General features: G+C 37.0%; 1 long non-coding RNA gene across 1 annotated transcript in view, besides 3 other annotated features; it reads left to right on the top strand.

Annotated features, from left to right (window-relative positions):
- LOC105377862 (uncharacterized) overlaps nt 1-24452 on the top strand; it is a 322839-nt gene that overhangs the window by 116034 nt on the left and 182353 nt on the right. The gene's annotated exons all lie outside the window — the stretch shown is intronic.
- Nucleotides 4963-5132: an enhancer, noted in NCBI's record as "experimental_94761 CRE fragment used in MPRA reporter constructs". NCBI's record gives its function as "activates a minimal promoter by MPRAs in K562 erythroleukemia cells, with activity observed for both the introgressed and non-introgressed 6:77605748 variant alleles {active_cell/tissue: K562}" and the evidence as "EXISTENCE:reporter gene assay evidence [ECO:0000049][PMID:34662402]".
- Nucleotides 8594-8763: an enhancer, noted in NCBI's record as "experimental_94782 CRE fragment used in MPRA reporter constructs". NCBI's record gives its function as "activates a minimal promoter by MPRAs in K562 erythroleukemia cells, with activity observed for both the introgressed and non-introgressed 6:77609379 or rs72674552 variant alleles {active_cell/tissue: K562}" and the evidence as "EXISTENCE:reporter gene assay evidence [ECO:0000049][PMID:34662402]".
- Nucleotide 8679: a transcriptional cis regulatory region, noted in NCBI's record as "Neanderthal adaptively introgressed variant 6:77609379 (GRCh37/hg19 assembly coordinates) or rs72674552 in the experimental_94782 CRE". NCBI's record gives its function as "modulates activity of the experimental_94782 enhancer by MPRAs in K562 erythroleukemia cells {active_cell/tissue: K562}" and the evidence as "EXISTENCE:reporter gene assay evidence [ECO:0000049][PMID:34662402]".

Here is a 24452-nt window from a genome sequence, read left to right on the forward strand (position 1 = left end):
TCTATACATTTGATATATGAAGGCAAACCTAGTCCCTGTTATTTGGTGGGCACAGCCCACGGATACTGAATTTACCATCATGTATTGAAAATTATTTGAGTTAACAAACAAATTTACAAGAAAAAAACAAACAACCCCATCAAAAAGTGGGCGAAGGACATGAACAGACACTTCTCAAAAGAAGACATTTATGCAGCCAAAAAACACATGAAAAAATGCTCATCATCACTGGCCATCAGAGAAATGCAAATCAAAACCACAATGAGATACCATCTCACACCAGTTAGAATGGCAATCATTAAAAAGTCAGGAAACAACAGGTGCTGGAGAGGATGTGGAGAAATAGGGACACTTTTACACTGTTGGTGGGACTGTAAACTAGTTCAACCATTGTGGAAGTCAGTGTGGCGATTCCTCAGGGATCTAGAACTTGAAATACCATTTGATCCAGCCATCCCATTACTGGGTATATACCCAAAGGACTATAAATCATGCTGCTATAAAGACACATGCACACGTATGTTTATTGCGGCACTATTCACAATAGCAAAGACTTGGAACCAACCCAAATGTCCAACAATGATAGACTGGATTAAGAAAATGTGGCACATATACACCATGGAATACTATGCAGCCATAAAAAATGATGAGTTCATGTCCTTTGTAGGGACATGGATGAAATTGGAAATCATCATTCTCAGTAAACTATCGCAAGAACAAAAAGCCAAACACTGCATATTCTCACTCATAGGTGGGAATTGAACAATGAGAACACATGGACACAGGAAAGGGAACATCACACTCTGGGGACTGTTGTGGGGTGGGGGGAGGGGGGAGGGATAGCATTAGGAGATATACCTAATGCTAAATGATAAGTTAATGGGTGCAGCGCACCAGCATGGCACATGTATACATCTGTAACTAACCTGCACATTGTGTACATGTACCCTAAAACTTAAAGTATAATAATAATAAAATATAAAAAAAGAAAATTATTTGAGTTACAACATAGAAAGGTAAGTATTCATCCTAATTTCAATTTCAAACAAAAGCAGTATGAATATACTATATGTGAAGAAAGAAAATGATTTTTTGCCTACTGCATGGCAGGCTAATTTTCAGATCAAAAAGATCATACACTTAAATATCCTCTTTGAAATCTTCCTAAAAGGTACAGGAAATTGTGTACTTAAAGAAGATATAATTAAAAAAATACTGACTGAGCATGTTGAGACTTTATTCTTCATGCCATTTTTATTTTAGCGTTTTCTACTTATATTCAGCTTGTCCCATTTTCTAGCATTTTCTACTTATATTCAGCTTGTCCCAGTTTGACTTAATAAAATTCCAGTGGAAACCATTTTTTCTTCAGAATAGTGCATTGGAACCATCAAGAGATCTGCTGAGAATCCCTCTAGAGAGAACACTGAATAGATTGAGAAAGAACTGGTGATTCACACTTAAATAATTGTACAAAACATATAAAGTTTTTACTCTTTTAACTGCTGATAAAAGTGACATTCTGCATACTCTCCATGTGTGTTCTCATTTACTGGCAATAACTTCTTATGGAACTATCAAAAGCAAGGCAAAAGAAATAAACAAAAACACTTTTAATAAAAATGCAAGTGAAATATATATTCGGGCTTGAGATTTATTCTACTTGAAGATTAACATAATAGTTTCAGCATTTTCCTCTGCATGAGCATCGGTTTTGCATTGCAAATAATTGGTAGTATATACTTAGGAATTTTGGAAATGAAGTAGCTCGAAGGAGGCATTACTACCATCATCACTGTCTGCTTGTCTGTGATGCCTGGGGACTGACCAGCAGAAAGTTTGGTCTTTTCTTTCCATTTCCCACAGCAAAATATACATAGACTTTCATGAGCAGAAATTTCTTAAGTATGTTTAAAGAACAATTGCTAATATTTTGTGATGGCTTACTGTAATTCAGGAATTGTCTTAGCGAAGGACTTTCCATATAATTATTCTTGCAAAAATCCTAGCGTAAGTATAGCTTTGTCTATATTGTGTGAATAAGAAAACTGAGCTACAAGATGATAAAGCAGCTTGCCTAAGGTCATACAGTCAGTAATCAGAACAGAAATTTGAATATAGCTCTGGGTTCTTAATTTCTATTCTGCAGGAATGGGTGAACCTCACATAACTACTAAATACTTTCAGGAAATTTTAAGATCAAAATATTTCTCTGAGGTTAATCAAAGTAATATATATTTTTAACACTTTTTTCGTGGTACAGATAAAATCTTTATATTTTTATGTATTGTATTAGTTTGTTCTCAAGCTGCTATAAAGAACATACCTGAGACTGGGTAACTTATAAAGGAAAGAGGTTTAATTGACTTACAGTTCCACAGGGATGGGGAGGCCTCAGGAAATTTACAATCATGGTGTAAGGGGAAGCAAACACATTCTTTTTCACAAGGGAGCAGGACAGAGAAGAATGAGTTCCCAGTGAAGGGGGAAGCCCCTTAAAAAACCATCAGATCTCATGAGAACTAACTCACTATCACATGAAGAAAATGGGGAAACCACCCCCATAATTTAATTGTCTCCACCTGTTCCCTCCCACAACACATGGAGATTATAGAAACTACAATTCAAGATGAGATTTGGGTGGGGACACTAAGCCTAACCACATAATTCCTCCCTTGTCCCCTCCCAAATCTCATGTCCTCAAAATTCAAAACACAATCATGCCCTTCCAACAGTCCCCCAAGTACCTTAACTCATTCCAGCATTAACTCAAAAGACCAAGTCCAAAGTCTCATCTGAGACAAGGCAAGTTCCTTCTGCCTATGAGCCTGTAAAATCAAAAGCAAGTTAGTTACTTCCTAATACAATGGTAATACAGGCATTGGGTAAATACAACCATTCCAAATAGGAGAAGTTGGCAAAAACAAAGGGCTACAGGACCCATGCAAGTATGAAATCCAATAGGGCCATCATTAAAGTTCCAAAATTATCTCCTTTGACTCCATGTCTCATATCCAGGTCATGCTGATGCAAGAGGTGGGCACCCACAGCTTTGGGAAGCTCCATCCCTGTGGCTTTCCAAGGCATAGCCCTCCTTCTGGCTGCTTACATGGGCTGGCATTGAGTGTCTGTGGCTTTTCCAGGCACACAATGTAGGCTGTCAGTGAATTTACCATTCTGGGGTCAGAAGGACAATAGGCCTTTTCTCATAACTCCATCAGGCAGTGCCCCAGTGGCAACTCTGTATGGGGGCTTCAATCCCATATTTCTCTTCCGCAGTGCCCTAGCAGAGTTTTTCCATGAAGGCTCTACTCCTGTAGCAAATTTCTGCCTGGTCATCCAGGCATTTCCATACATCCTCTGAAATCTGGGTGGAGGTTCCTAAACCTCAATTCCTGACTTGCATGTGCCCACTGGCCCAATACCACATGTAAGCCACCAAGGTTTGGGGCTTGCACCCACTGAAGCAACGGCCTGAGCTGTACATTGGCCCCTTTTAGCCATGGCTGGAACTGAAGCAGCTGGAATGCAGGGCACCATGTCCTGAGTATGCATAGAGCAGACTTCCCTGGACCCAGCCCAGGAAACCATTTTTCCTTCCTAGGCCTCCAGGCCTGTGATACAAAGGGCTGCTCTGAAAGTCTCTGACATGCCCTGGAGAATTTTCTCTATTGTCTTGCTGACTAACATTTGGCTTCTTGTTACTTCTGCAAATTTCTGCAGCTGGCTTGAATTCGCCCCAGAAAATGGGTTTTTCTTTACTATTGCATTGTCAGGCTGCAAATTTTCCAAACTTTTATGCTCTTCTTCCTCTTAAACACTTGCCCACTTAGAAATTTCTTCTGCCACATACTCTAAATAATGTCTCTCAAGTTCAAGGTTCCCCAGGTCTCTAGGGCAGGGGCAAAATGCCACCAGTGTTTTGCATAGCAAGCGTGACCTTTACTCCTGTTCCCAATAAGTCGCTCATCTCCATCTGAGACCACCTCAGCCTGGACTTTATTGTTCATATCACTATCAGCATTTTAGTCAAAGCCACTAAAAAAGTCTCTAGGAAGTTCCAAACTTTTCCACATCTTCTGTCTTCTGAGCCCTCCAAGTCTCTAGGAAGATTCAAATTTTCCACATTTTTCTGTCTTCTTCTGAGCCCCGCAAACTGTTCCAACCTCAGCCTGTTACCCAGTTCCAAGGTTGCTTCCACATTTCTGGGTATCTTTACAAGAGCACCCCACTCTTTGTGGTACCAATTTACTGTATTAGTGCATTCTCATGCTGCTATAAAGGACATATCTGAGACTGAGTAATTTATAAAGGAAAGATGTTTAATTAGCTCACTGTTAGCATGGCTGGGGAGGCCTCTGGAAACTTACAATCATGGCAGTTGGGGAAGCAAAGATGTCCTCCTTCACAAGGTAGCAGAAGAGAGAAGAATGAGCACCCAGCAAAAGGGGAAACCCTTATAAAGGGTTTTACACAAGAACAGGATGGGGGAACCACCCCATGATTCAATTATTTCCACCTGGTCCCTCCCACAACACATGGGGATTATGGGAACCACAATTCAGGATGAGATTTGAGTGAAGACACAGCCAAATCATATCAATTGTCTATACTAGAAATTATAGTAGAAATTATGCTGATACAGTTTGGATATTTGTCCTCTCCCAAATCTAATGTTGAAATGTCATCCCCAGTGTTGGAGGTGGGGCCTGGTTGGTCATGGGGGTGGATCCCTCATGGCTTGGTGATGTCTTCAAGTTAGTGAATGAGGTCTCATGAGATCTGGTTGCTTAAAAGTGTGGCACTTCTCCCTGTCTCACTGCCACTACTTCCATGTGAAATGTCAGCAGCTTCCTCTTCACCTCTGCCATGATTGTAAACTCCCTGAGGCTTCACCAGAAGCAGATGCCAGCACCATTCTTTCTATACAGACTGCAGAACCATGAGCCAATTAAAGCTCTTTTCTTTATAATTTACCCAGCCTCAGGTATTTTTTATAGCAATGTGACAATGGCCTAACACAAACTGTCAGGCACACTGGAGAAGATAGACATAAAAAAATGATGGAATAACGTGGTAGTTAATAATAATGTCAGGAAGCACCAGGGGGTTCAGCATAGCAGCCTTGTGCAAAAACAGATTAGTGTTGTAAAGAGGACTAGGTTGTGATGTAGAAATCATGCAAACTTCTGTTAAGTGCAATTTTGCTAAGACTGATAAAAATATATGTACTTTAGGTTGTGCCATTGTTAGTCTTCCTCATAAAAGGCTGGAGAATTCTCACTTTCAATTCATATCATTTTACCAAAAGATTTCTGCTATTTACAAATTGAAGCAACTTGCTATGGCTAAAAGTCAGGTTCATTTTTATAGCAATCTGCTTATTTTAACATTTACTGATTTCTTACATGTACGCAGGGATAAGCTATTTTTTTCTTGGAATCTTGTCATATATTAAAATAATAATGTAATATCCATGTTACTTTATATTTTACCTTAGAAAAGACATTACCAGAGCAACCTGGAGGTGATTAGAGTTGACGCTATTTCAGTTGATTCAAAGAGAGAACATATAGAATATCTTTAAATTTTCAGGTTTCCTTCCTCACTTATATCAATCAAAGTGAACACAGTAATAACCCTTTCCTTTTTAAATATTTATACTTCACTTCTAAAGTATCCCAAAGAACAGAGCAAGTTACATGCAAAGTTCAGCATCAGCAGTCTGGAAATACCCAAAAGCGCCTCATTGTCTGCACAGCATGAAGCCTTCCCCTGACCTAAATGGATCAAGAAAAATCAAAACTGCAAATATTTTTTTCAGAGCCAACTATCTACTGGATTTTGCTAAGAAATTTGGTAATTAAAAATATTCTTTAAGCTATAGCCTTTACTTTCAAAGAGCCTGCAATCTAAATATGATCAAAGTTTACTGAAGTGTACACTGACACATAACACCACTTGTTTTTCTTTTTTTATTTAGTTACATGACACCGACCTCTTCCGGTTTTACTATGAAAAAGGACATCCTTGCTGCCTCTTCATGGTGTTGCTCCTCAAAGACCAGTACTCTCCTTTTCCTGTCTTTCACTCTCCCTTGATAATGTTTGAGTGTTGCTCTAAGTCTGTGTGTATGAATGTTAAATGTTAAGCTCAAATCCAGACCTGTCTGCTACCTTCATTCCTAAATGTCTGAGAGCCTCATAGACATCACCACACAGGTATCTAATTGGCTTACCACCACCAGTTTATATAAAATGACTTGTTCCCTGTTGTACCTGATTAAATTGTCCTCAACTTTCCCATGTCTGACAATGTTTCCAACTTCCTTTCAACCTCTTTAGCTCCATCCTTGATTTTCCCTTTGATTTATCCCTTGGCCTCTTCTTCAGTTAAAATATGGAATGTACATTCTACATGCTTTATTCTCTACTTTCTACCACAGCACCCTAACAAAATCAAGTTATCTTCTTTTAAAATATCATTCTAGTCTCCCATCTGATCCCTCTGTCATTGCTTCTCAGATATTTTCATGGACTCCTATTTTCTACTATATTTGTTAGTAATTAAATTTAGCTGTTACAACATGAAGAACAGTGTCTTAAACAAGATAAAAAGGTATTTCCTTGTCTCTTAAGTCTGGAAGCAGGCAGTTTACAGGGAGAGCAGTGGTTCCATGATGTTGTCACTGATCCAATCTCCTTTGCTCCTCCTGCACCACTAACCTTAGAGCATGATTTTTATCCTCCTGGCAGCAAGATGGTGGCTACAGCTCTAGACATTATATTTGATTTCCAAGAAGAAAGAAGGGGAAATGGGGGGAAGATAAATGGCAATATGGGTTAACAAAATTAGTCCCTTTAAGGAGCTTTCTTGGAGGCTTCTCTTAACATCTTTACTTTACATAATATTGGTCACCCAAATCTTCAAGAGAAATGGAAAAATAGTTTTTAGGTGGGTAAATTGACACACTCAAAACAGATTTCTGTTAATGAGGTGAAGCAGAGGATTAGATATTGAGTCAGTGACTTACCATATCTGTTTTTTTTAGCAAAGATAATTCAAGGTGTTTCATAGAATATAAGTTTCACAAGTAGGACAGAAAGGATTGAGGTATTCACTCGCTCTTATTCCCCACCTATCTCATACCACAGTTTATCTTATTTCTGTGGTATCCCCTTTACTGTTCCTATTTTCCTTCTACTTTCCCCCTACCTGTCTGAATTTTATGCAACTTTTAAGATCAGTGCAACCATTTTTTCTCAAAAATTTTCATTTTCTACACTAAATTTGGACTAATCTCTCTTATAAACCTCTCAAACATTTTATTTTTTATTTTAAGATATCATTTACGATATTACAAATGCATGATATGTTTTATTGTTTCCACTAGATTATAAGATATTTGAGCAGAAAAATAGTGTCTTACTCATCTATTTCCCCAGATCCATAAATTATTTCAAGAAGATTGTGGGTAGTCAATAAATGGATGCAAATGATTGAAGACAGCATGATTGCATAAGGTACTGTATCAGGAGGCTCTGTTCTAAGATTTAGCTATTACTGATTCATTTGTTCACTTATTGACCTTGCCAAACAATTCACCTTCTGGTCAGCAACCTGAGAATATAATAAGACTGTATTAGTCTGTTTTCACACTGCTGTTAAAGACACACCAGAAACTGGGACAAAAAGGTCTAATTGGACTTGCAGTTCCACACGGCTGGGGAGGCCTCAGAATCACGGTGAGAGGGGAAAGGCACTTCTGACATGGTGGCGGCAGAGAAAAATCAGGAAGAAGCAAAAGCAGAAACCCCTGATAAACCCATCAGATCTCATAAGACTTATTCACCATCACAAGAATAACATGGGAAAGACCAAACCCCATGATTCAGTTGGCTCCCCCTGGGTCCCTCCCACAACATGTGGGAATTCTGTGAAATACAATTCAAGTGAAAATTGGTGGGAGATGGGTGGGGCAGGGAATACTGTCAAACCATATCAAAGACCATGCTGTTCTTCTTTCCTAAATTCATATACCAGATATTTGTTGAGCTTCCATGCTTTCAATTCAATGTGTTCCCCAAAAGTATGTGTTGGAAACTTAATCTCTAATGCAACAATGTTAAGAGGTAGGACTTTTGACAGGTGATTAGTCCATGAGAGCTTCACCTTCATGAATGAATGAATGTCAGTAATAAAAGAGTTTCAGTCTCTCAGTTGGATCAGAGGCAGAAGCCTCTTGCTATGGGATGATGCAGCAAGAAGGCCTTCACTAGATGTTGGTACCTTGATATTAGACTTCCCAGCCTCTAGAACTGTGAGAAATAAAATTCTTCTCCTTCTAAATTACCCAGTTTGTGACATTCTATTATAGCAATGCAAAACAGATAAAGACAATCCACATATCAATAATTATGCTCAGTTTTGGAAAAGCGAACCTGAATAAAACATGAATTCTACCTTAAGAAGAGTTCAATATGTAGTGGGAAATAGAAGGGAAAGGGGAAAGAAAGAGAGAGATAAAGTGGGGGAGAGAGAGACAGTGAGAAAGAGGGAGGTGAGAGTTCAAAAAGTGGCAAGAGTGGAGTAGAGAAGTTTTTAACAAATTCATACATCTGAAAAAATAAGTAGATTTTTGCTAGATATAGAAAGGAAAAACGCTTTCTTTTTTTTTGCAGGGAAATCAGCATGAACAAAACAGTAGAAATATGAAAGAGCATAGCAGTCTACAAGAATCACTGTACTTTTGCCTGGTGCCTGTGTAGGATAGAGGGAAGATAATGAAGCAGTTTGTCAGAAGTGATAGACAAGTAGACTCATGGATAATACTAAGGGAATTAGAGTTTATCTCAGTAGTAACAGGAGATTTTTTTTCTATCTGTTTGTATGCTTTCTAGCTGAATTTGAGGTACAGGGTGTTGGGATAATTATTCTTGTCAAATCAAGATGGCTTCATCTTCAGGCAGCACTTCTAACTTTCTCCCAGAGCAAGATCCCAACTAAAGATATCAATAGTAATGTAGTATTATTAACTAGAATGTAGCCATATTTTAATTTCTCCAGTTATACCATAAAAACTTGTATAGCTACGTGAATGTGTGTGTGTGTGTTTTCTGATTCAGAGGCCCTTTAAAGTTCATGCAATGCATCCTCATATTCTACTCTTGAAATCCAGAACTATCTTCACACTTTAGTTTTTTATTGTTGTTGTTTATTTATTTATTTATTTATTTATTATACTTTAAGTTTTAGGGTACATGTGCACAATGTGCAGCTTAGTTACATATGTATACATGTGCCATGCTGGTGCGCTGCACCCACTAACTCGTCATCATCATCTAGCATTAGGTATATCTCCTAATGCTATCCCTCCCCCCTCTCCCCACCCCACAACAGTCCCCAGAGTGTGATGTTCCCCTTCCTGTGTCCATGTGTTCTCATTGTTCAGTTCCCACCTATGAGTGAGAATATGCGGTGTTTGGTTTTTTGTTCTTGCGATAGTTTACTGAGAATGATGATTTCCAATTTCATCCATGTCCCTACAAAGGACATGAACTCATCATTTTTTATGGCTGCATAGTATTCCATGGTGTATATGTGCCACATTTTCTTAATCCAGTCTATCATTGTTGGACATTTGGGTTGGTTCCAAGTCTTTGCTATTGTGAATAATGCGGCAATAAACATACGTGTGCATGTGTCTTTATAGCAGCATGATTTATAGTCCTTTGGGTATATACCCAGTAATGGGATGGCTGGGTCAAATGGTATTTCAAGTTCTAGATCCCTGAGGAATCGCCACACTGACTTCCACAATGGTTGAACTAGTTTACAGTCCCACCAACAGTGTAAAAGTGTCCCTATTTCTCCACATCCTCTCCAGCACCTGTTGTTTCCTGACTTTTTAATGATTGCCATTCTAACTGGTGTGAGATGATATCTCATTGTGGTTTTGATTTGCATTTCTCTGATGGCCAGTGATGGTGAGCATTTTTTCATGTGTTTTTTGGCTGCATAAATGTCTTCTTTTGAGAAGTGTCTGTTCATGTCCTTCGCCCACTTTTTGATGGGGTTGTTTGTTTTTTTCTTCTAAATTTGTTTGAGTTCATTGTAGATTCTGTAGCCCTTTGTCAGATGAGTAGGTTGTAAAAATTTTCTCCCATTTTGTAGGTTGCCTGTTCACTCTGATGGTAGTTTCTGTTGCTGTGCAGAAGCTCTTTAGTTTAATTAGATCCCGTTTGTCAATTTTGGCTTTTGTTGCCATTGCTTTTGGTGTTTTAGACATGAAGTCCTTGCCCATTCCTATGTCCTGAATGGTAATGCCTAGGTTTTCTTCTAGGATTTTTATGGTTTTAGGTCTAACGTTTAAGTCTTTAATCCATCTTGAATTAATTTTTGTATAAGGTGTAAGGAAGGGATCCAGTTTCAGCTTTCTACATATGGCTAGCCAGTTTTCCCAGCACCATTTATTAAATAGGGAATCCTTTCCCCATGGCTTGTTTTTCTCAGATTTGTCAAAGATCAGATAGTTGCAGATATGCGGCGTTATTTCTGAGGGCTCTGTTCTGTTCCATTGATCTATATCTCTGTTTTGGTACCAGTAACATGCTGTTTTGGTTACTGTAGCCTTGTAGTACAGTTTGAAGTCAGGGAGTGTGATGCCTCCAGCTTTGTTCTTTTGGCTTAGGATTGACTTGGCGATACGGGCTCTTTTTTGGTTCCATATGAACTTTAAGGTAGTTTTTTCCAATTCTTGAAGAAAGTCATTGGTAGCTTGATGGGGATAGCATTGAATCTGTAAATTACCTTGGGCAGTATGGCCATTTTCACGATACTGATTCTTCCTACCCATGAGCATGGAATGTTTTTCCATTTGTTTGTATCTTCTTTTATTTCCTTGAGCAGTGGTTTGTAGTTCTCCTTGAAGAGGTCCTTCACGTCCCTTGTAAGTTGGATTCCTAGGTATTTTATTCTCTTTGAAGCAATTGTGAATGGGAGTTCACTCATGATTTGGCTCTCTGTTTGTCTGTTGTTGGTGTATAAGAATGCTTGTGATTTTTGTACATTGATTTTGTATCCTGAGATTTTGCTGAAGTTGCTTATCAGCTTAAAGAGATTTGGGGCTGAGACAATGGGGTTTTCTAGATATACAATCATGTCATCTGCAAACAGGGACAATTTGACTTCCTCTTTTCCTAATTGAATACCCTTTATTTCCTTCTCCTGCCTGATTGCCCTGGCCAGAACTTCCAACACTATGTTGAATAGGAGTGGTGAGAGAGGGCATCCCTGTCTTGTGCCAGTTTTCGAAGGGAATGCTTCCAGTTTTTGCCCATTCAGTATGATATTGGCTGTGGGTTTGTCACAGATAGCTCTTATTATTTTGAAATACGTCCCATCAATACCTAATTTATTGAGAGTTTTTAGCATGAAGGGCTGTTGAATTTTGTCAAAGGCCTTTTCTGCATCTATTGAGATAATCATGTGGTTTTTGTCTTTGGTTCTGTTTATATGCTGGATTACATTTACTGATTTGCATATATTGGACCAGCCTTGCATCCCAGGGATGAAGCCCCCTTGATCATGGTGGATAAGCTTTTTGATGTGCTGTTGGATTCGGTTTGCTGGTATTTTATTGAGAATTTTTGCATCAATGTTCATCAAGGATATTGGTCTAAAATTCTCTTTTTTGGTTGTGTCTCTGCCCGGCTTTGGTATCAGGATGATGCTGGCCTCATAAAATGAGTTAGGGAGGATTCCCTCTTTTTCTATTGATTGGAATAGTTTCAGAAGGAATGGTACCAGTTCCTCCTTGTACCTCTGGTAGAATTCGGCTGTGAATCCATCTGGTCCTGGACTCTTTTTGGTTGGTAAGCTATTGATTATTGCCACAATTTCAGAGCCTGTTATTGGTCTATTGAGAGATTCAACTTCTTCCTGGTTTAGTCTTGGGAGAGTGTATGTGTCCAGGAATTTATCCATTTCTTCTAGATTTTCTAGTTAATTTGCGTAGAGGTGTTTGTAGTATTCTCTGATGGTAGTTTGTATTTCTGTGGGATCGGTGGTGATATCCCCTTTATCTTTTTTATTGCATCTATTTGATTCTTCTTTTTTTCTTTATTAGTCTTGCTAGCAGTCTATCAATTTTGTTGATGCTTTCAGAAAGCCAGCTCCTGGATTCATTAATTTTTTGAAGGTTTTTTTGTGTCTCTATTTCCTTCAGTTCTGCTCTGATTTTAGTTATTTCTTGCCTTCTGCTAGCTTTTGAATGTGTTTGCTCTTGCTTTTCTAGTTCTTTTAATTGTGATGTTAGGGTGTCAATTTTGGATCTTTCCTGCTTTCTCTTGTGGGCATACAGTGCTATAAATTTCCCTCTACACACTGCTTTGAATGCGTCCCAGAGATTCTGGTATGTTGTGTCTTTGTTCTCGTTGGTTTCAAAGAACATCTTTATTTCTGCCTTCATTTCGTTATGTATCCAGTAGTCATTCAGGAGCAGGTTGTTCAGTTTCCATGTAGTTGAGCGGTTTTGAGTGAGATTCTTAATCCTGAGTTCTAGTTTGATTGCACTGTGGTCTGAGAGATAGTTTGTTATAATTTCTGTTCTTTTACATTGGTGAGGAGAGCTTTACTTCCAAGTATGTGGTCAATTTTTGAATAGGTGTGGTGTGGTGCTGAAAAAAATGTATATTCTGTTGATTTGGGGTGGAGATTTCTGTAGATGTCTATTAGGTCCTCTTGGTGCAGAGCTGAGTTCAATTCCTGGATATCCTTGTTGAGTTTCTGTCTCGTTGATCTGTCTAATGTTGACAGTGGGGTGTTAAAGTCTCCCATTATTAATGTGTGGGAGTCTAAGTCTCTTTGTAGGTCACTCAGAACTTGCTTTATGAATCTGGGTGCTCCTGTATTGGGTGCATATATATTTAGGATAGTTAGCTCTTCTTGTTGAATTGATCCCTTTACCATTATGTAATGGCCTTCTTTGTCTCTTTTGATCTTTGTTGGTTTAAAGTCTGTTTTATCAGAGACTAGGATTGCAACCCCTGCCTTTTTTTATTTTCCATTTGCTTGGTAGATCTTCCTCCATCCTTTTATTTTGAGCCTATGTGTGTCTCTGCCCGTGAGATGGGTTTCCTGAATACAGCACACTGATGGGTCTTGACTCTTTATCCAATTTGCCAGCCTGTGTCTTTTAATTGGAGCGTTTAGTCCATTTCCATTTAAAGTTAATATTGTTATGTGTGAATTTGAGCCTGCCATTATGATGTTAGCTGGTTATTTTGCTAGTTAGTTGATGCAGTTTCTTCCTAGTCTTGATGGTCTTTACATTTTGGCATGATTTTGCAGCAGCTGGTACCGGTAGTTCCTTTCCATGTTTAGTGCTTCCTTCAGGAGCTCTTTTAGGGCAGGCCTGGTGGTGACAAAATCTGTCAGCATTTGCTTTTCTGTAAAGTATTTTATTTCTCCTTCACTTATGAAGCTTAGTTTGGCTGGATATGAAATTCTGGGTTGAAAATTCTTTTCTTTAAGAATGTCGAATATTGGCCCCCACTCTCTTCTGGCTTGTAGAGTTTCTGCCGAGAGATCCACTGTTAGTCTGATGGGCTTCCCTTTGAGGGTAACCCGACCTTTCTCTCTGGCTGCCCTTATCATTTTTTCCTTCATTTCAACTTTGGTGAATCTGACAATTATGTGTCTTGGAGTTGCTCTTCTCGAGGAGTATCTTTGTGGCATTCTGTATATTTTCTGAATCTGAATGTTGGCCTGCCTTGCTAGATTGGGGAAGTTCTCCTGGATAATATCCTGCAGAGTGTTTTCCAACTTGGTTCCATTCTCCCCGTCACTTTCAGGTACACCATTCAGACGTAGATTTGGTCTTTTCACATAGTCCCATATTTCTTGGAGGCTTTGCTCATTTCTTTTTATTCTTTTTTCTCTAAACTTCCCTTCTCACTTCATTTCATTCATTTCATCTTCCATTGCTGATACCCTTTCTTCCAGTTGTTTGCCTCGGCTCCTGAGGCTTCTGCATTCTTCACGTCGTTCTCAAGCCTTGGTTTTCAGCTCCATCAGGTCCTTTAAGCACTTTTCTGTATTGGTTATTCTAGTTACAAATTCTTCTAAATTTTTTTCAAAGTTTTCAACTTCTTTGCCTTTGGTTTGAATGTCCTCCCGTAGCTTGGAGTAATTTGATCGTCTGAAGCCCTCTTCTCTCAGCTCGTCAAAGTCATTGTCTGTCCAGCTTTGTTCTGTTGCTGTTGAGGAACTGCGTTCCTTTGGATGAGGAGAGGCACTCTGCTTTTTAGAGTTTCCAGTTTTTCTGTTCTGTTTTTTCCCCATCTTTGTGGTTTTATCTACTTTTGGTCTTTGATGATGGTGATGTACAGATGGGTTTTTGGTGTGGATGTCCTTTCTGTTTGTTAGTTTTTCTTCTAACAGACAGGACCCTCAGCTGCAGGTCTGTTGGAGTACCCGGCCTTGTGAGGTGTCAGTCTGCCCCTGCTGGGGGGTGCCTCCCAGTTAGGCTGCTCGGGGGTCAGGGGTCAGGGACCCACTTGAGGAGGCAGTCTGCCCATTCTCAGATCTCCAGCTGGGTGCTGGGAGAGCCACTGCTCTCTTCAAAGCTGTCAGACAGGAACATTTAAGTCTGCAGAGGTTACTGCTTTCTTTTTGTTTGTGTCCTGCCCCCAGAGGTGGAGCCTGCAGAGGCAGGCAGGCCTCCTTGAGCTGTGGTGGGCTCCACCCAGTTTGAGCTTCCTGGCTGCTTTGTTTACCTAAGCAAGCCTGGGCAATGGCGGACGCCCCTCCCCCAGCCTCACTGCTGCCTTGCAATTTGATCTCAGACTGCTGTGCTAGCAATCAGCGAGACTCCGTGGGCATAGGACCCTCTGAGCCAGGTGCAGGATATAATCTCCTGGTGCACCCTTTTTTAAGCCCATCGGAAAAGCGCTGCATTCAGGTGGGAGTTACCCGATTTTCCAGGTGCTGTCTGTCACCCCTTTCTTTGACTAGGAAAGGGAACTCCCTGACCCCTTGCACTTCCCGAGTGAGGCAATGCCTCGCCCTGCTTCAGCTTGTGCACAGTGCGCACACCCACTGACCTGCGCCCACTCTCTGGCACTCCCTAGTTTGATGAACCCGGTACCTCAGATGGAAATGCAGAAATCACCCATCTTCTGCGTCGCTCGTGCTGGGAGCTGTAGACCGGAGCTGTTCCTATTCGGCCATCTTGGCTCCTCCCCCTAATTTTGTTTTTTATAAAATCAAATCTTTGAAGAACACAGGCCATCTGCCTTCTTGAAAGTTCACATACTTAATTTTTTAAATTGTTTTCTCATGATTAAATTTAAACATTTTCCAAGAATATTATATATTTAATATTGTTTTATATGTAATATGCATACATACATATTTTATACATATATATTTATATATATATATCTTGTTCTGTTTCTCACTTGTCTCTTTCAACATAGTATTTATTAAATCCACCATTACCACTCTCTATACCTTGGTTTCCCTATTTCTAACCACAGGACAATAATCTTCAGTGGGCTGTAGCTTTCCACATATCACCTATTCATAGCTCCAGAGATGGAGACTCACACTGCATCAAACTAATGGTGACCAACGACAACACTATGTGAACATTTGTGCTCATATACCAAGAACATAATTTTTGAACAGACTAGTGATGTGATCAGACATGTGTTTTTGAAAGATTACACTATGCTAGTATAGAAGACCAATTAGAGGAGGAGATAGTGGAGACAGAAAGGCAATTAGAAGATAAATAACAAAATTTAAAAGAGAAATGAAGAAAGGCTGGTTTAGGATACCACTAGTACTTGTCATGGTAAAGAGCAGGACAGATGAACATCCAGGAGATAGAATCAATAGAATTATACTTAAAGGTTATTGACATTTGTTAAAGAACATTCCCTTTCCCATATCATCCAGATCCCTTTGTGATGTTGAAAGGGAAATGAATATTGTTAATAGAATTTCAGGAAAAATGAGAATACAAAGTAAACTTTATGAATTATTTACATAGTTAGACCTATTTTAACTCTAAGAGAAAAGAGTGATCATCGCAAGGCAGTAGAGTAGCATGAACAGAGAACTGGAAAATTGAAATCCTTCCTAGGCTAACAGAGCAGCTCGAGCCTTGAGTGTAGGCCACACAGTCCTTGTTGATTTGATTTATTTTGAAAAGTCTGGACAATATTTTTATCCTGTGTATCTCATATATCCAATTATAACAAAGCCAACTGGCTAATTTTGTTCAGGGGAGGAAAAAATACATTGATGGGAAATTGTGGTGTAGTGGTCAAGAATATATTCTCTAAAGAGTAATTTTAGGGAAGATGGCAATGTAGGAAGCACCAGGAATCCAACTCCCCATTTAGTCAGCAATTATAATGGCAGCATCTCTCCAATATAACAGTATTGGTACTGTGGAATATATTAAAAGTTTGTGATTTCTAGAGGAAGGCTTGGATGTTAAATCGCAGTTAATGTCAGCCAGGTACAACTCTTAGTGCAGTAGCAGCTACCTATTCTCCACTTTACAGCTTTATGGGAGCTGACTGTGCATGTGTTTTTAGAAGAACTTACAAGTAGCTTGTGGGAGTCAGGATGGGCAATAAAGACCCTACCCTTTAAATACTAGGGACTTGCTTTCTGATAATTTATTGATGGTTCTGATTGTGGAGGTGCAGACACAAAAGTGGGCAGCCATCATTGCATCCCCTACCACAAATGTTGCAAGCCTCTCTCTTTCTCTTTATGGTTGAAGAGATATCTGGGAGATTTAATGGTCCAGCATTCTTTTCCTCCTTCATTTTCTTTTTTTCTCCTTATGGGAGACAGAAAATTAAGGACTAGAATATTCAAAATCAACCATAGATAAAGGATAATTTAGAAAGTCACATCACATGTCTAGGGAGAGATATACAAGCAGAGAACTGAGAAGACCATAAGTTTACACTCAGGCTTGGCACCAAGAACCCCTACAAGAAATCAAATGACAACTACCAATAAGCCCTGGGAAAGGGGGATACTCTCATATCTGATGTTACTACATTAAAAGATTAATATATCCAATTTTCAATAAAAATTACCAGGAAACATTAAAATAGATCAATTCAAAAAAGATTTAAAAGGTCAACAAAAATCATCCCTGAGAAATACCAGATGGCAGCCTTACTAGAAAAAGATCTAAAAACACTCAAGAGTTAAAAGAAGATTTTTAACAAAGTCAAGAAAATAATAAGTTGACAAAATAAAAATCTAAATAAAAAGAAAATGTAAAAAGGACCTACCATTCCAAATTCTCCAGTTGAAAATTATAACAATTGTTATTAATAATTCACTTAGGAGTCCCAGAAACACAGCAGGCAGGAGAAAGTATCAGTGAATTTGAAGACAGGACTATTAAAATCACCAAGTTTTAGGAACAATTTTTTTAAAAAAGAAAAGTGAACAAAGCTTAGGGGTCTGTGGGACACTGTCAAGAGAAGCAGCATACACATTGTGAGAAGAAAAGAGAAAGGGGCAAAGATTATTTGAAGAAATAATGGTTGAAAAGTTCCCAAATATAATAGAAGACAAAATATAAATATCCAATAAGTTCAACAAATTCCAAGTAGGATAAACTCAAAGAACTCCACACCAAGACACATTATAATCAGTCATAGCCAAAGACAAAGAGAGAACCTTGAAAACAGCAAGAAAGAATTGACTCATTACATAGAAGGGATCCATAATAATATGATCAGGACATTTTTGATGAGAAGCCCTGGAAGCCAGAATGCAGTGGGTTGATATATTTAAAGTGCTGAAGAAAAAAAAAAAAACCCAAAGAATGAGAACTTTGCATCTCAAAAAACTATCTTTTAAAAGTGAGTTTAAAAAAAACTATCTTTTAAAAGTGTTTCCAGACAAACAAAAGCTGAGGGAATTCATTACAACTAGGCATGCCCTTTAAAAAATCATAAGGAATTCTTTCAGGTTGAAATAAAAGGACTGAGACAGTAACTCAAAGCTGTGTGAAAGAATAGGATTTCTGGTCAAAATAAATTCATGGATAATTATAAAGGTAAGTATTGCTTCAACTTAGGTTTATAATTTCATCTTTTTTTACATTATTTAAAATACTAATGCATAAGAACTATTATAAGTAATTTTATGATATCAATAACTGAAAAATGTTATAAAGAAGCTATATTGAAACAGGGCTTTAGTATTTTATTGAAACTAAGCTGATATGAGTTCAAATTAAATTGTTATAACTTAAATATCTCATGGTAACTACAAAGAAAGTAGCTATAGAATATAAATAAAGGAAATGAAAAGGGAATTAAAAAGTTTTAGTACAAAAAGTCAGCTAAATGCAAAAGAAAGTAATATGCAGAAGAAAGCTGGGTAGGGGGAATCCCAATGGGACATATAGAAAACAAATAACATAATGATAGAAGTAAGGCACTTCTCATTAGTAATTATTTTACATGTAAATGAATTCAATTCTCCAATCAAGAGATATTGGAAGAATACATTTTTTAAAAAATGTTTCAATTATATGTTCTCTACTCATTTTAGATCCAAAGACACAAACGTGTTGAAAGTGAAAGATATAAAAAGACATTCATGCAAATAGTAACCAAAAGAGAACTGGTATGACAGTATTAATATCAGACAAAATAGACTTTAAATAAAAAATGTTTACAATTAAAAACGGGCATTACAACAAAAGGCTCAATGCAGCAAGAAATGTTTATAACAATTATAAACATTTGTGCACATAATAATAGACAATCAAAATATTTGAAGCATTGACAGTCAAAAATTTTCTGAAGCAAAAAATGATATAATTGAAGGGAGAGATAGGCAGTTCTACCATAACAGTATTAGAATTCAGTAACTTATTCTCATTAATGTATAGGACAACCACACAGAGGTAAATTAAAACCAAAAGGGTAGGGAGAGGCTTGAATAGCACAATAAAATTAACTATGTGTGACAGATATACACAGAATACTGTACTCAACAACAACAGAACACATATTCTTCTCAAGTGTACATGACATATTTTTCAGAATAGACATGTTAGGTCACAAATTAAGTCTCAATGGGAATAAAAAGATATATACTAAGAAAAGTATGTTTTCCAACCACAATTAAATGAAATTAGAAATCAATAACTAAGAAAAACTGAAAAAAATTATAAATGTGTGGAAATTAAACAAAGCATGCTTAAATAATAATAGGGCCAAGTAATAAATCACAATGAAATAAAAACACAATATACCAAAACTTCTGGGATGAAACAACAGTGATATCAAGGAGAAAATTTATAGTAATAAGCACATTTAAAAAGAAAAATAAATCCCAAATTAACACCTGACTTTACAACTTAGGGAAATACAAAAGGAATAATTATATTATTAATAATATTAATAATAAAAATAAACAACATAAAATCCACAGCTAGCAGAATGAAGAAAATAATGATTAGAGCTGCGATCTATAAAGAACAGAAAACAATAGAGAAAATTCAAGAAATCCAAATTTGATTCTTTAAAAATGATTAGAAAAATGGAAAATCTTTACCTAGATTGACTAAGAGAAAGAGAGAAAACTTAAATTGTCAAAATCAGGAATAAATGTTAGGACATTGCACTTATTCTACAGAGGTCAAAAGGATTATAAGACAGTATTATGAATAACTGTTTGCCAAAAAATTGCATAACCTAGATAAAATGAACAAATTCTTAGCAACATTAAACATAAAAATATGAATCATAAAGAAATAGAAAATCTGAATCAATCTAAAACTAGTAAGGCAACAGAATCAATAATTTAAAAATCTGACAAACAAAATCCCTGGACCTGTTGAATTCACTGATAAATTCTAGCAAACATTTTTTTTTTTTTTGAGACGGAGTCTCGCCCTGTCACCCAGGCTGGAGTGAAGTGGTGCAATCTCGGCTCACTGAAAGCTCTGCCTCCCGGGTTCACGCAATTCTCCTGCCTTAGCCTCCTGAGTAGCTGGGACTACAGGCGTCTGCCACTACGCCCGGCTAATTTTTTGTATTTTTAGTAGAGATGGGGTCTCACCGTGTTAGCAAGGATGGTCTCGATCTCCTGACCTCGTGATCCGCCCACCTCGGCCTCCCAAAGTGCTAGGATTACAGGCGTGAGCCACCGCGCCCGGCCAATTCTAGCAAACATTTAAGGAAGCACCAACATACTAGTTTTTCTGAAAGTCTTCCCAAAAAACTGAAGAGGAGGGGGCATTTTCAGGCTCATTAGATGAGGACAGCATTATGCTGATACAAAAGCCAGATAAAGAACTACAAGAAAAAAATGCCACAGACACATATTACTGATGAATATTGATGGAAAAATTCTAAAAAATACTAGCAAACCAAAATCAACAGCATATTTAAAGGATTATACAACATGACCAGCTGGAGTTTGTTCCTGGAATGCAAGAATGATTCAATTTCCAAATTCAATCTATTTAATATACCACATTAGCAGAATGAAAAAAATAAAACATAACAATGACATGATTATCTCAACAGACACAGAAAAAAATTGACAAAATTTAACACTTTTTCATGATATGAACACTCAACAAACTAGGAATAAAATGAAACTACCTCAACATAATAGAAGCCATTATGAAAACAAACAAACACACAGATAACATCATTCTCAATGGTATAAGTATGAAAGCTGTTCCTTTAAGATAAGAAAAAACACAAGGATGCCTGCTTTTGCCATTTCTATTCAACACAATATTGAAAATATTAGCCAGATAAATTAGAAATGAGAAATTAAATTTATTTAAATTGCGAATGGAATAAAATTATCTATGTTCACAGATAATATAATATTATACATAGAACCCCCTAAAAATTCCACAAAAATAATTGTTACAAATAATAAATTTAGCAAAGTATCAGGATGCAAAATCAACACAGAAAAATCAGCTAATATGTTTCTATACACTAACAAAGAACAATCTGAAAAGAAAATTAGAAAACAGTTCCACTTACAATAACATCCAAAAGAATAGAAATACCTAAGAATTTACCAGGGAGGTGAGAGACTTATACATTGGAAACTACAAAACATTGCTGAAAGAAAATAAAGAAGACACAAATAAATGGAAAAATAAATCTCCTATTTATGAATAGAAAGACTTAATATTGTTATTATATTAATTCCCTCAATGTTTTACAAATTTAATGGAAGTCCTATCAAATCCCAATGATGTTGCTATGATTTAAATATGGTTTGTCTTCTCTGAAACTTATGTTGAAATTCAATTTTCTTTTTCTTTTCTTTTTTTTTTAAATTTTAGACAGGGTGCAGCTCTGATGCCCAAAATGGAGTACAGTGCCCCAATTATGGCTCACAGCAACCTCTGCCTCCCAGGCTCAAGTGATCCTCATGCCTCAGCTCCTCCCAGTAGCAGGGACGACAGGCATGCACCACCTCCCTGGTTTATTTTTGTATTTATTGGTAGAGACAGGGTTTTGCTATGTTGTCCAGGCTAATCTCAAACTCCTGAGCTCAAGTGTGATCTGCCATCTTGTCTTCCCAAATTGCTGGGATTACAAGCATAAACCACCGTGCCAGGCCTGGTCTCAATTTTCAATAAGGTATTGGGAGGTGGGGCCTAGTGGGAGACATTTTTGTCATGACAGCAGATTTCTAATGAATGGATTAATGCCCTCTTGTGGAAGTGAGTTCTTCTTCTCAAGGTACTTGACGAGTTACCCTGGGAGCTAATTGCTATAAAGCAAAGTTCCCCGTAGTGATTTTTCTTTTTGTAAAAGTCTTCCCCTTCTGCTTTCCACTATAAATTTAAGCAGCACCAGGCCCTTACCAGATAAGCTGCCCAGTCTTTGTCAGTCTTCAGAACGTGAGCTAAGTAAATCTCTTTTCTTTATAAATTACCTAGTCTCAAATATTCTGTTTCAGCAACACAAAATGGACCAAGACAGTGTTTTTGTTTTTGTTTTTGTTTTCAGAAATAAACAAATCAATCTTAAAGTTCACGTGGAATCTCAGGAAAACCAAAATAGTCAAAACAATCTTGGAAAAGAAGCATAAAGTTGGAGTCTCAGACTTCTTGTTTCAAAAGTTACTACAAAGCCACAGTAAACAAAATAATGTGGTACTGGCATAAAGACAGACATATAGACCAATGGAATAGAACGGAAAATCCAGAAATAAACCCTTGTATGTGTGATCAAATTATTTTTGATAAAGGTACCAAGTCCACACAATGGAGAGCAGACAATCTTTTCAACAAATGGTTTTGGGATATCTGGACATCAACATGCAAAAGAATAAAGTTGGTCCCTTACCTAACACCACATACAAAAATTAACTCAAAATTGAACAAAAACCTAAATGTAAGGGCCAAATTTATAACAACTCATAGAAGAAAGGCTTAAGGCAAAATAATTAAAAAGTTTCATGACACTGGATCTGGCAATGTTTCGATATATAACACCTAAAACACAGGTTGCAACAAATGGAAAAATAGACAAATTGGACACCAAAATTTAGAGATTTTGTATGCCAAAAGACATTATCAACAGAGTAAAAAGACAACCCATAGAATGGGAGAAAATATTTACAAATCACATATCTGATAAGGAATTAATATCCACAGTACAAAAAGAATTCATGAAACTCAACAACAAAAAGCTAATAATCCTATTAAAAATGGGCATATAACTTAAATAGGAGTTTCTCTAATGAAGCTATGCAAATGGCCATTAAGCACAGATGCAAAGCAAATTCATGAACACATCAGATACATAAAAAAGATACTCAACATCAATAATCATTAGGGAAATGCAATCAAAACCATAATGAGATACCAATTTATATACATTAGAATGACTATTAGTTTAAAAAGCAAACAAAATATAGGCAGTTTTGGTGAGGATTAGGAGAATTTGACAACCTTGGACACTATTGTAGACATGTCAAATTGTGCATCTGCTATAGAAAACAGTATGGCAGTTCCTCAAAAATTAAAAACAGAATGACCGTATGATCCAGCAATTCCGATACCCAAAAGAATTGTAAGCAGCAATCTTAAGAGATATTTGTACACCCATGTTCATAGAAACATTATGTACAATAGCCAAAATTGGAAGAAACTCAAGTATTATTGATGGATAAATAGATAAACAAAATGTGGTATATATATATATACACACTAGGGTCTTATTGAAGACAGTATGTAGCAGAGTCACAGCTGACTTAGAATGTACACTTAATGTTAACAAGAATTAAGGTTTTGAAGATATGAAAGAACAACAAAAAAGTAGAATAGAATAGAAAATAATGGAAAACATCAGGTGATGTCAATATTTGGGGCAAATATTATATTTGTCAATATTTGGGGCAAATATATATATATATCACATTTATATATATATAATGAATATTATGCAACCTTCTAAAGGAAGGCAGTTCTGAAATATGCTACAACATGGATGAACCTTGAAGACATTATGCTATGTGAAATTAGCTAGTCACAAAATAACAAATATTGTATAATTCCTCTTAAATGAGGTATCTAGAATAATCCAGTTTATAGAGATAGAAAGTAGAATGGTATTTCAGCAGAAAGGGGCTGGAGGTAAGAGAGAATAAGGAGTTATTTAACAGATAGAGAATTTCAGTTTTGTAAGGTGAAAAGAGTTCTGGAGATAGATGGTTATGGTTGCACAATAATGTGAGTATACTTAATGCCACTGACTGTACACTTCAAAATGATTAAAACAGTAAATTTTATATTATGTGGTGCATTATCACAATATTTTTAAAAAGAACATAATCTCTAGAGCCTGAGTGTGTGGGTGTGACCCTGGCTCTGCTATTCAGTGGCCGAGTGATCATAAGCACATTAATCTTTCCCTTTCTGTTCTTCTATTTGTCAAATGGAGACAACAGTCTTTGCCTCATAAGTTGTTGTGTAGATTAATTACAATAAAATATGGAAAGCAGTTAGAACAGGGCTTCACCCATTGTAAGTGTTCATAGAGGGCTACGAATTATTATTATTCAAAGGTGTCTTCTAATAAAAATGCAGGAAAACAGAAAATTGCTAACAATTTATTTTAGCAGGGATTTTTTAATTCTACTTTTCCATCATGAATATTTACAGACAGGTATCTTGCATAAAAATTGGCTTTAATTTAGACAAGTCTTTTTCTGAGATAAGATTTAACTACCATTTGTCTGTAGAATTTATTTCAGTGTTAGTTCCAGCACTTCTAGTATCTCATGGCTCTGTAATATTAGTTTCTCAATTCAATATTATTTTTCTGAGAATCAGTCATTATGAAAAACAAAGATGTTTCTCTATATTCTGAATCTCTTTGAACTTCCATAGAATGGTATTTTCCAAA

This window comes from Homo sapiens, chromosome 6 (assembly GCF_000001405.40).
Source record: "Homo sapiens chromosome 6, GRCh38.p14 Primary Assembly".
In the NCBI taxonomy this organism is placed as follows: Eukaryota; Metazoa; Chordata; class Mammalia; order Primates; family Hominidae; genus Homo; species Homo sapiens.